This window comes from Homo sapiens, chromosome 20 (assembly GCF_000001405.40).
Source record: "Homo sapiens chromosome 20, GRCh38.p14 Primary Assembly".
Taxonomy (NCBI): domain Eukaryota; kingdom Metazoa; phylum Chordata; class Mammalia; order Primates; family Hominidae; genus Homo; species Homo sapiens.
The window spans coordinates 56429781-56442640 of NC_000020.11; the positions used below are offsets into that span (position 1 = coordinate 56429781).

The 12860-nt window shown below is 44.7% G+C and overlaps 1 protein-coding gene across 5 annotated transcripts in view; it reads left to right on the forward strand.

Annotated features, from left to right (window-relative positions):
• The window catches only part of CASS4 (Cas scaffold protein family member 4), a 48347-nt gene that overhangs the window by 17745 nt on the left and 17742 nt on the right, over positions 1 to 12860 (forward strand). For 3 of the 5 annotated variants that reach the window (NM_001164116.2, NM_020356.4, NM_001164115.2), the window contains one exon: positions 7384 to 7806. In NM_001164116.2, the coding sequence (NP_001157588.1) occupies positions 7384 to 7806 (423 nt within the window). The remainder of the gene's footprint in view (positions 1 to 7383; positions 7807 to 12860) is intronic. The other 2 variants (XM_006723831.4, NM_001164114.2) reach the window with 1 other exon arrangement.

Sequence of the window (12860 nt, forward strand, 5' to 3'; positions counted from 1 at the left end):
CAGGTAAACGTCCCTAAGCCCTCACCCATCACTACTTCCCAACTGCACTTATAATTTTTCATAACTTCCTGTATTTTTTCATAACTTCCTGTATTTTTTATAACTTCCTGTATTTTATTTCTCATAACTTCTTGTATTTTCTTTCCATCTCACTTACAAGAGATGGAAACCCTGTATTTATTTCTGTGATGATTTGATTAGAATTTGTCTCCTCCACTAACATGTACATGGCATGAGATCAGAAACAGTTTTGTTCACCACGATGCCTCCAGCAGAGCCCCTGGAATACACGTGATGCTCAATACAATCTTGGTGAATGAATGAATGAATGAATTGCTCCCCAGATTTCTCCAAGTGCAGCTAAGACCACTGTATCCTTGGCTGCTCGGGTTTAGATGAGCACATTGCACCTGCCAGCTGTGGAAAGGTCTCTGCACTGAGGTTATCATCAGCATGAAGGCAGTGAGTCTCTTATTCTTCACGTTTGTTTCCCTATCCTCCTCCTGTTCTTCCTTCCAAATGCATATTCATTTTCCTTTTCCCTCTCCCAGCTGTTGTATGAAGATGGGCATTTGGGGGAAATGTCCTTTTTGGAAATCGTTTAAGAACATTTCTTCCATTGTACCCAGAATCTAACTGCTTGTGTACCCACAAGGAACAAAAATGTGAACATACATCCTCCTTCACCTCTGAAATTTCTACACAAATATTTCCAAATTAACACTCTATTTAAGAATACCTTGTGAGTGGCCTCAGCAACCATTGCAATGGTTACTGGATGCCTTTGGAGTGGCCTGTCAACTGCTTCCATCTGTTATTCACAAAGAGCTCAGTGCAGCGCCAGGAACATGGGTGCAGGATGAGTGCTGGCTGCTGCTATTGCAATGTCCAGTGCTCCCTGCACGCCCAGCCTGACCATAACAGCCTGAGCCCAGCCAAAAGTGGGGTGGTCAGGGGCAGCCTCTGCAAAGGGGTGACTCGAGCTGAGACCCAGAGGAGGAGGATCTGGCGGAAGAGAGTTCTGGGCAGAAGGAACAGCAAAGAAAAGGTCTGAGGTGGAAGCAACCTCAGGGCATTTGAGAAAAGTAAGAAAACAATGTGACTGGAGGGAAATGAATGAGGGTAGAGCTGCAAACTGGGAGGCTGATCCTGCCTCGAAGCCACACTAGGAAGGTGACCTTTTGTTCTGAATGCAGTTCTAAGCAATTAGAGGTTTTTAAAATAAGAGACCAACAGGATCCAATTTTATGTGTATAAAATAAAATATTCTGGCTAGTGTCTGGAGAGTGGATTATAAGGTGAAAGAATGGATGTGAGGAACCAATTAGAATTTAAGTGACCTTGGACAAGTCATTTGATCTCTCTGACCCTCAGTTCTCTCATCTGTAAAATGGGGATAAGAAAGTCTGCCTCTGAGATTTCATAGAAATAGGTAATATTATGACTTCAGTGCATCCAACACAAAATAGGTTCTCATTCAGTATAATTCCCTGTTTTCCCTCCATTCCAGGTAAGGAACTCCCCAAGACTTTGCACATGCATTTCATTCGTCTTTTGTAACATTAATATTGATGGTCTTTGCTACTGAAACGCTGAGGCATAATTAATTGATTGCATGAGCTGTCCAGAGACACCCCTGTCAATTGTAATGAAACGCCATACAGTGTTTCATTCATATTGAGGGGAATCGTGTTATGGCAACATATTTAGAGTTTTCCTTTGCTGGGAGTTTACATCCTTTGAAGATGTGGTCTGCTGTCCTGAAGACAGCAGGTCAAAATTACAAAATAAATCATATATCAAGAATAAGACTGCTGCTATTCATCTTGGACAGCTGTGAGTGCCCAGTGGGGTGGATGATCATAAAAACCCCATTGTTCTCTGGGAAAAAGTCCTTACTTTTACAATAGGCAAATCCGCCAGCTAAGCTGCATTCAATCTGGACCCTTCAGGGCAGCTGCCATATTGCAACAACTGCTCTGTCTAAAGATATGCACTATCTTATTTCTAGACAAATGCAAGCACATTTCAGATGATCGGTTTTTAAAGATTGCTTTAAATGTATTTCATGGGAATTACGATGAAATATACCATAATTATTTCATTATAGCCTCTGCAAAGGCTTTTATTTTCCCTTTTGTTCCCAATGTAGATGGTTAAAGTACAGTTTTCAAAAAGGCAAAATTATGACTCTCATGCAAATATAAAATGAACTCATGTCAAAGATTTTAATCAATTTTGATCAATTAATAGGGAATCAATGAAATGTTAAAACTAGGTCAAAGATCGTTGAGGATACTTGTCCAACTTGAATGAATTTATTTTTAAAAAGAGATCATTGAGGGGCTAGGTAGGTATAGGCAATTTAATTAAGGCATATTAGAGTGTGATTGCAAGGCTAAGTATGAAACTGGTTAAAGTCCTACAAGATAATAAACCTTTCAGATTATTGTTTCAGATAATAAACCTTTCAGATAATAAAGCTTTCAGATTATTGTTTTTTACTGAACGGCAATTATTTGTCTATTTAACTGGAAAAAAAATCTGCAAAGTAGCATGTAAGTTTCATAAGTCCTTTTTTTTTTTTTTTTTTTTTTTTTTTTGAGAGACAGGGTCTCACTTCCTCACCCAGGCTGTAGTGCAGTGGCGCGATCTTGGCTCACTGCAACCTCCACCTCCTGGGCTCAAGCCATCCACTCACCTCAGCCTCCCCAGTAGCTGGGACTATAGGCGTGCACCACCACGCTGGACAATTTTTGTATTTTTTGGTAGAGACGGGGTTTCACCATGTTGGCCAGGCTGGTCTGGAACTCCTGGCTTCAAGTCATCCACACGCTTTGGCCTCCCAAAATGCTGGGATTCCAGGCATGCACCATCACACCCAGCCTAAGTCTTGACCTTTAATCAATACTCTTTATAAGACTCTAAAACTCTAGTCCCTTAAATACTTCATCACTGCTGGATTCTCCAAGCTCAGCACCCACATTCTTGTGAAACCCACTCCCAACACATTCAAGGGATAATGATTCCGTGTGCAGACTAGTTACGCCTTGAGGTTTATCTTCTGGACATGGCTGGTGGTCATTCTTACCGAAGGTCATCCAAAAGTGTGGGCAGGGGCGTCACAGAAATCTTCCCTCTTACCCTACTCCAGACAGAAATAGGAGCGCTCATCCTGGTGTTTGTGATTTCTTACCTCTTAAAGACTTGAAAATGGGGGCGTTATGTCACGCCTCTCTTTCATTCATTAATTCAACAAGTAGCTAAAGATCCCCTACTCTGTCCTGGATCATGGGACGCAGTCCAGAACAAGAGGGTGTGGCCCTCGCTCTCCTGGAGCTTACGTTCTTATGGGGAGACAGACCCTGGATGAGTTGAACCCTAATGTGACACGTACTGATGTGCAAAGGTGTTGGGCAGAAGTATGGGGAGAACTAGTTTGGTCAAGAGGGTGTCAGGGACCCTTTTTCTAAGGAAGTGACATTTAAGATAAGCCTGAAAGGATGTGTGGAATTTCACTGGGTGGAAAGCTGCTGACTGCTTTGGGGTAGAGAGAACAGCATGATGGAGGGACTCAAGCCCTCAGAAAGGGTGACACCCTGGAGGCCAGTGAGGAAGTGATACCTATGAGTCTGGAAGTGTGGGAAGAGGCAAAATCACACAGGGCCTTGATGGTTTGGGCACAGTTTGGGCTTTGTCCAAAGGGTAATAGGGAGCCACTGAAGGGTGGTAGAGAGGGGAGTGGCATGATCAAAATTTGTGTCCCTGAAAAACTCGAGGACGACAACAGTGCCATATGTAATAAACATTCCATAAATGTTTGCTGAATCTGTGAAGGAACAATTGGCTGACCCAGAAAGACACCCCATGGGATGCCTGACACCAGGAAGTACAGTCATTGTCCATCGGCTGTAGCTCAGCTCTCTGCTTTTCAATGTCATCTCATACACTCACTGGGCTCAGACAAGTGATAGCTTCATATCTTCCCTCTCACTTGAGGATTTCTGCTTCACCATGGAGAAGAGAGGAAATCTCTACAGGCAGGAATGCCCCTCACAATACACATGCCCCTAACTCCTTTGGGGACCTTTTTTCTATGGAAAAATGAGTTAAAAGTGGGTACAGCAGGGAGGTGACACATCCCCCGGGTTGCCTGCAAGTTATTCCCTCAGCGGCATGAGGGCTGCAGCTGATTCTGTAGTTTTGAGTAGTCTGGGTGTTGCTAAGAATGTGCTGGGAAACATTTCAAGTTTCCTTGACAAAGATTTCTAAACAAATACATCATCCAACAAAGAGGTAATGCACAGGGTAGATTAGGGTACAAGGAACTGTGCAGTCTCATTCACCGTGGGTGGAGGTGTGAATTGATTGAACTTTGCTGGAGGGCAACGTGACAGCATCCGGAGCCCTGATGGTTTCCACCCACCGACTTCCCACTGAAGAATTTATCCATGGAAATAAATAAGGGGAGTTGCAAATATTAGCTATAAAGATGATCATTTCAGCATTGTTTGTAATAGCTAAAACCTGCAATTAGCTAAAATGTCCAAAACCAAGAAGAAAAATTATGTTTCATCTGTACAATGGAAAACCAAGCCACTGTTTTAAAGAATATTGAAAAATGTTTATTGACACGGAAAGATGCTCACAATTTACTTATTTATTTATTTATTTGAGATGGAGTCTCACTCTGTTGCCCAGGCTGGAATGCAGTGGCACCATTTCAGCTCACTGCAACCTCTGCCTCCCAGGTTCAGGTGATTCTTCTGCCTCAGCCTCCCAAGTAGCTGGGTCTACAGGTGCACGCCACCACTCCCAGCTAATTTTTTTTTTTTTTTGTATTTTTAGTAGAGATGGGGTTTCACCATATTTGCCAGGATGGTCTCAAACTCCTGACCTCATCATCTGCCCCCTCGGCCTACCAAAGTGCTGGGATTACAGACATGAGCCACTGTGCCCGGTCCCACAATTTATTTTTAAGTGGGAAAAAAAAGCAGATTATAAAATTGTGTGTTTCATATTATGCCATTAGATTTTAAAACTTTAATGATGACTCTAGGTGTGTATGTGAACAACTATGCAAAAGAAAAGATCTGGAAACACAAAAACCGAAGGATTAACAGCAGTTACCTGTGGTGGCAGCACTGCAGGCATTTTAATTTTCTTCTGTTTGCTTATTATTATTTTTACTTTTTCTTTAATGAACTTTTATTACTTTTGTAGAAAGAACAAAATGTTTTATTTTCAAAAATTGTTCATGATCTCCTGGGATCTCAGCTGTATTAGATTTTGTGGGGGATGTTCAATGTCTTTCTGGGTGCGTGAAGGATCTGATTCTTCTTACGCTTTTTAGATAGACTTGTAGTAGTGTTTCCCCTAATCCACACAGACCTGCTTGTCTGGTTAAGATGGTATTTTTCAGCATTGGTCTTCCAATTCCATTTTTGTAACAGAATAGAGATATTAGGCAAGAAGCACAATAATTTTCAACAAACATAATGGAAGAGTTGGTCACTTTTGCTTTATTTATGAAAGTATGAACAAAGGTTAATGAGTTTAAAAGGTGTAATTAAATTTATTTAGAAAAATAAAAAACAACTGGAAGGATAAATACCAAAAATGGTGTGAATTGGTATCTTTTAGTGGTGGGATTATGGGTAATTTTCACTTCCTTCTTTTATTTCTCTCTTTTTCTGTAATGAACATGTATTGATATAAAAAGATTGGGAAAGGTGATTACTTTAAAACCTAAAGAAACAAGTTGCCTTCATGTAATTACAGTGGAAAGTTCAAATAAGAAGGGGGCTCGGCCATCACTGCCGTGGTAACAAGGCGACTTTTTTTAGAACTGTGTGGCTAACTGAAAGAGCATGGGTTGGAGAATTAGGAGACTGGGTTTGATCCTGGCTTTGTGACCGCAGGCAAGTCACTAACCCCCTAAGTCTTTTGTCATTCACTAGTTTTTCTTTTTTCTTTTGTTTTGTTTTTGAGACAGAGTCTCCCTCTGTTGCCCAGGCTGGAGTGCAGTGGCATGATCTCGGCTCATTGCAACCTCCGCCTCCAGGGTTCAAGCGACTTTCCTGACTCAGTCTCCCGAGTAGCTGGGACTACAGGCATGCGCTACTCTGCCCAGCTAATTTTTTTTATTTTTATTAGAGACAGGGTTTCACCATGTTGGCCAGGCTGGTCTTGAACTCCCGGCCTCAAGTGATCTGCCCTCCTCGGCCCCCCAAAGTGCTGGGATTACAGGCGTGAAACACTGCGCCCAGCCTCTTGTCATTCACTTATTAATGAACATTTACTGAGCATACTCTATGTACCTGGGTCTGGGCCTGACACTGGGGACAGAATAGCCAAGTGAGGTGTGGGCCCAGCAGTCACAGAACTGCCAATCCAATTCAGAAGGAAAATAGCAAAAACCAGACAAAAAGCAATCTAATAGTAATAACAGTCACAGCTGCCTGTACCAAGTACTTACTAAATGTCAGGCACCTGTACATGACAGAGAGAGAGATACCCATATGTATACACAATATATAATGGATTGCTATATATATGTGTGTGTGTGTGTGTGTGTGTGTATATATATATATGTATATATATATATATAGGATATATGTTGGGTACATATATATATCAACCCGTCATATATAGTGTGTGTGTGTATATATACATATATATAAATATCTCAACCCATTTAATTCTCACAATAACCCCATGAGGTAGGTATTACTATTATTACCATTTTACAGATGAGGAAACTGAGGCTCTAATAGGGTAGCTAATTTGCTTAAAGGTACACAGGTACGAATTTCTACCCCACTATGTGCGCTATGCTGCACTGAACTACATAACTACAAGGGTCATAATTTCCACAAATTAAAACAGGGCCATGACCCAGGAGTTGGAAACCAGCCTGGGCAATGGCAAAACCCCTTCTCTACAAAAATACAAAATTTAGCCCGGGGTGGCGGCACGCATGTGTAGTCCCAGCTACTTGGGAGGCTGGGGTGGGAGGACTGCCTGAGCCCGGGAGGTCGAGGCTGCAGTGAGCCAAGATTTCACCGCTGCACTCCAGCCTGGGCAACAGAGTGAGACCCTGTCTCAAAACCAAAAACAAACAGGGCCATGAAAGCATATTAGGACCATCCGACCTCGTCTCAGGATACAGGTAAGTCTGCCCTGAGGATGTGACATTTCACTTAGACCCCAAGGATGTGAAGGAACAAATCAAAGAGCAGGGACAAGAGCCTCTGGGGTGGAAGAAATGAAATGAAAGGGCATGATGAATTTGTATGAAGCTTTCTAAGAGAGTGGGATTGGAGTAGCAGTCACTGGCCACGGTGCTAACTGCAAATTCTCTTCTCCCCTCTCCACCCACAGGCACTCCTGGCCAGGGCACTTTATGACAACTGCCCTGACTGCTCTGACGAGCTGGCTTTCAGCAGAGGGGACATCCTGACCATTCTGGAGCAACACGTGCCAGAAAGCGAGGGTTGGTGGAAGTGTTTGCTCCATGGGAGGCAAGGCCTGGCCCCTGCCAACCGCCTCCAAATCCTCACGGAGGTCGCTGCAGACAGGCCGTGCCCCCCATTCCTGAGAGGCCTGGAAGAAGCTCCTGCCAGCTCAGAGGAGACCTATCAGGTGCCCACTCTACCCCGCCCTCCCACTCCAGGCCCCGTTTATGAGCAGATGAGGAGTTGGGCGGAGGGGCCCCAGCCCCCTACTGCCCAAGTCTATGAATTCCCCGACCCTCCCACCAGTGCCAGAATCATCTGTGAAAAGACTCTCAGCTTTCCAAAACAGGTACGCATACTTCCACCTACTAGACATGGGTTGAGGGGTATGGAAACACCCAGAGGCCTAACTACCTCTTGAGGCATGGGTGTCCTTCAGATCAAACACGCAAAACGGGAGCCCAGATTGCTGGCAATCACGCTCGGGGAGCTTGTGTGCCAGGTTGGGATGGAGAACTCAGCGGCCTCCACCCCCTTGTCGTTGACACCCTTGGCGCCACTGTGATTCCCCAGCTCTCCAAGGCTGGGCACACTCTGTGGGAAATGGAATGCTTAGCTGAGCTGTGTGGGAAGGCACTGAGGATGTTCGTGGCACCCTTTTCACAGGATGAAGGATCACCAGGACTGCCAGTGACAAATGGGAGGGTGGGGTTTCCATGGGTTCAGAGGCAAGAAGTTACACATCGCATTTAAAATGTATATTCCAGGCTGGGCATGGTGGCTTACACCTATCTATATTCCCAGTACTCTGGGGGGACGAGACAGGAGGATCATTTGAACTCAGAGTTCGGGACCAGCCTGGGCAACATAGTGAGACCCTGTCTCTACCAAAATTTAAAAATTAGCCAGCATAGTAGCACACATGTGTAGTCCCAACTACTTAGTGGGAGGCTGAGGCAGGAGGATCGGTTGAGCCCAGGAAGTCGAGGCTGCAGTGACCTATGATTGTGCCACTGCACTCCAGCCTCGGTGGCAGTGAGAACCTGTTTTCAAAAAAAAAAAAAAGTATATCCCCTTCAATGCAGAAATTTTATTTCTAGAACTGCTATGGAAATATACAAGCAGGCAAATATATGTCTGGATGAGGAGGCTGTAGCCATTATGGCATAGAAAACTCAAAGAGGCCTAAATGTTTATTAACAGTGGATTGGTTATACATATCTTGGCATATCACCACAACAAGCTGCTGTGCAGTTGTTTAAAAAAAGAATGAGGCATTTATAAGAGGGAAGAAAGATCTATTTAAACAAAAACCAAACAGATATAAACTCAAAAAAGAGGCAGGGCGCAATGGCTCATTCCTGTAATCCCAGCACTTTGGGAGGCGGAGGCGGGCAGATCACAAGGTCAGGAGTTCGAGACCAGCCTGGCCAACATAGTGAAACTCCGTCTCTATTAAAATACAAAAAATTAGCTGGGCATGGTGGCAGGCACCTGTAATTCCAGCTACTCGGGAGACTGAGGCAGGAGAATCACTTGAACCTGGGAGGGGAAGGTTGCAGTGAGCTGAGATCGCACCATTGCTCCCCAGCCTGGACGCCAAGAGTGAAACTCCATCTCAAAAATAAACAAACAAACAAAAAACTCTAAAAAGGAATTCTGTATGTGAGTGTGTATGTGCATGTGTGCTCTCACACTGAGACTGAGAAGAACATGCTCCAGGCATAGTTACCCCAAGGAAGGGGAACTGGTTAAAGAGAAAGGGAGCAGTAAGCTGGGGCCTTTATTTTATTCATTCCTGTGTCCTCAGCACGTGGGACCAGGCCTGGCCTGGGGTAGGTGCTCAATACATATCTGACAAACAAACAAATTAGGAAGTTGATTTTTATGTCATATTGAACATGTATGACATCTGTAACTTTTTAAAATATCAATTATTTTGTTTTTTTGAGACTGGGTCTCGCTCTGTCTCCCAGGCTGGAATGCAGTGGTGCAATCACTGTTCACTGCAGCCTCAAACTCATGGCCTCCAGCAATCCTCCTGCTTCAGCCTCCCAAAGTGCTGGGATTACAGGTGTGAGCCACCATGCCTGGCCTAAAGTATCAATTTTTAAAAACAGAGGAAAAAGAGCATTCATTAAATGTAGAATGGGCTAGGCTTGGTGGCTCATTCCTGTAATCCCAGCAGTTTGGGAGGCCAAGGCAGGAGGATTGCTTGAGCCCAGGAGTTTGAGACTAGCCTGGGCAACATAGTGAGACCTCATCTTTACTAATAATAATAAAAAATAATTAGGCAGGCGTGGTGGCAGGCACCTATAGTCCCAGCTACTCAGGAGGCTGTGGAAGGAGGACCCTTTGAGCCCAGGAGATTGAAGCTGCAGAGAGCTATTATTACTACGGCGCCCCTGCACTCCAGCCTGGGTGACTGACCGGGACCCTGTCTTAAAAAATAATAAAACAAATGCAGAATGAAAACTTTTTTTAATAAGGAAAAGAATTAAAGTAAGGAAGGAGAAAAAGAATGCGCTATTTCCCTCAAAGCCCTGGCCTTCATGAGGTGTTGAGATGTAGAGCAGATGTGCACAGGCCTCAGTCACTGCAGGCATTTCCTGCCATCAGATGCTTTGCTTTCAGCTCCCATGACACATCCCACCCGGCCACAGCTCTGGCAGAGGGTCTTGGCAAGGTCTGTGTGCAGGGAAAGGCCAAGCTCCCTGAGGCATGTGCTGTGGGGGCCCCAGGAATGTGCTACTCACCATTCAGGCCTTCTCCACACCAGCTTCCAAGGTTGTCTTCAAACAGGAAAGTGTTGATTCCTTAGAAGATTTTGAATACTTTACATTTTCTAACTCCCTGGGCTACAAGACATAGAACCAGACAGTTGTTACATAGAACAGCTGCCAGCACAGGCACTCGCTACAAACACCAGGAGGAAGCTGGTGGCGCCTTCTGAAGCAGTCAATGAGGTGGACACTAACTCTCTTTTCTGGAACAACTGGCCCCGATCTAGGCCTGGCATGCTCAGCTGCTGTCTGAGCAGCTGACTCGGAGCAGAGCTTTGCTGAGGTTTCTTCTAAGAACAACAAGTGACATTAACTGAAGTTAACTTGAATTTCTTCCAAAGCCATGAAAAGAAAAAACAAAAAATCAATAGCAATTCCTTCCTCTCCCTGAAAGGAAAACAGATGCGCTGTCCTCTGTTGGTTGACCAGAGGACCCTCGAAGACCACTTCACAATCAGTTAAGTTTTCTGATCCACAGAAAAGGCTGGCAAGGCTGGCACCTCCTCCCTGCTCATGCCACTCAATACAATGACAGGCTCCTACAAGGTACTTAGTAAATACCTGTTGCATGAATGAAATTGACCAAACACAACACAAGGTTTCAAAAACATGGAGTCCACTATCAACTGCTAGACTGACATCCGTGTGAAAGGAAAGATGAGTTTACTATTGAAACTTAACTTTGAAAAATGATCAGGGCATTAGCAATGAGATTTGTCCTTGATGTTAAGTGCATCAACCATTTGAGGCCTTGCTTGTGCAGGCTGTGGCAAACAACAGAAACCGCAAGGAAATTCAGGGGGGGTCCCTTTAACCACTGAGCAGAGTTCTTGAGGTGGCCACAGTAAAACCCCCCAGGGGAATTTCCTGCCTTGTTTTCCTTCCTTAAGTTCCCTCCATGTCTGCCCTACCTACAAGTTTGCTCCCTTCCTTCCCTCCCTTCCTATTTATTTACTTAAAAAAAAAAATTTTTTTTTTTTTTTTTGGAGGCAGAATCTCGCTCTGTCACCCAGGCTGGAGTGCAGTGGCGTGATCTCGGCTCACTGCAACCTCTGCCTCCTGGGTTCAAGAGATTCTCCTGCCTCAGCCTCCCAAGTAGCTGGGAACACAGGCTCCCACCACCACGCCTGGCTAAATTTTTTTTGTATTTTTTAGTAGTGACAGGGTTTCGCCATGTTGGCCAGGCTGGTCTCGAACTCCTGACCTCAGGTGATCTGCCCACCTCAGCCTCCCAAAGTGCTGGGATTACAGGCGTGAGCTACTGTGCCCAGCCTATTTACTTAAACATTGTTTTAATTTATTGGCTGGGTGCGGTGGCTCACACCTGTAATCCCAGCAATTTGGGAGGCCAAGGCGGGTGGATCACCTGAGGTCAGGAGTTTGAGACCAGCCTGGCCAACATAGTGAAACCCTGTCTCTACTAAAAACACAAAAATTAGCCATGTGTGGTGGTATGCATCTGTAGTCCCAACTACTCAGAAGGCTGAGGCAGGAGAATCGCTTGAACCCGGGAAGTGGAAGTTGCAGTGAGCCGAGATCACGCCACTGCACTCCAGCTTGGGTGACAAGAGGAAAACTCCGTCTCAAAAAAATAATAATAATTTTTAATTTCTTGCCTTCTCTGTGCTTGGAGTCTCTTAGCAAGAGATGTGGTCTGTGGCTTACAACTCAGGAGTGCCATCTCATTTGGCTTCTGGGGCAGCCAATGTTGCACTGGGTGATTGGGGACCTCCCAACACCCTTTGTGTTTCTCCTTCCTCCTCTGTATAGGGAGAAGGTTGGACCCCATCTTTTCTAAAGTCACCTTCAGATGTACCTTTTGGTTTTTCTAAATACTTTCTTCTTCCTCTACTCTGAGAAGGAAGGAGCTAGAAGAACTTGAAGACCAGTTAACAATCAGTTACACATTTTCTGATCCACAGAAAAGGCAGGCGTCTCCTCCCTGCTCATGTCATCTAGCCATTAACCCTGAGGCTAAACCCGCCCAGAAAATACATTCCAAATGGAAGCGGCTGTTGGTAGACGGGGCAACTCTGAGCCACGGGTTTTGAACTGTTTTCCCATGGCAAATTCACAGGCTTGGAACACAGCCTTTGTGAGGCACTTCACGGACTCCTTTCTATATCTGTGTTGACAGTCTGCAGACTAAGAGTGGCCCCAAATTAACATCCGAGAAGGTGGAAACATGTCATTTTTCTCAAGTTGTCCTAAGAGAGGCGTCTATGTGTCAGAATCAGACATCTCTATAGCTGGGTGCGATCTCTGCATATCTTTAGATTAGAACAACTCTTCATTTTACAGATGAGGACATTAATTCCCAGGGAGGTGAAACTGCTCGTGCAGCCACACAGCTGATGAAGTACGACTTCCATCACCCCCCAAAACACAGCCCTTATTCCTTGATCTTCTTTCACCTGACTCTGTGGCTGACGCTATTCTTTCTGATGAACACTTTACTGAAATTTCACCTACAGATGCTACGTTACAGCTCTGTAACTTATATCCAGACCACGAAACAACAAAACTACCACCCCAGAAGCCTCCAGTGCCTTCTCTCTGTCACTTCCCCACTAGGGTAACCACTATCTTGAGCTTTGTTTTACTTTTTATCCCAACTTCC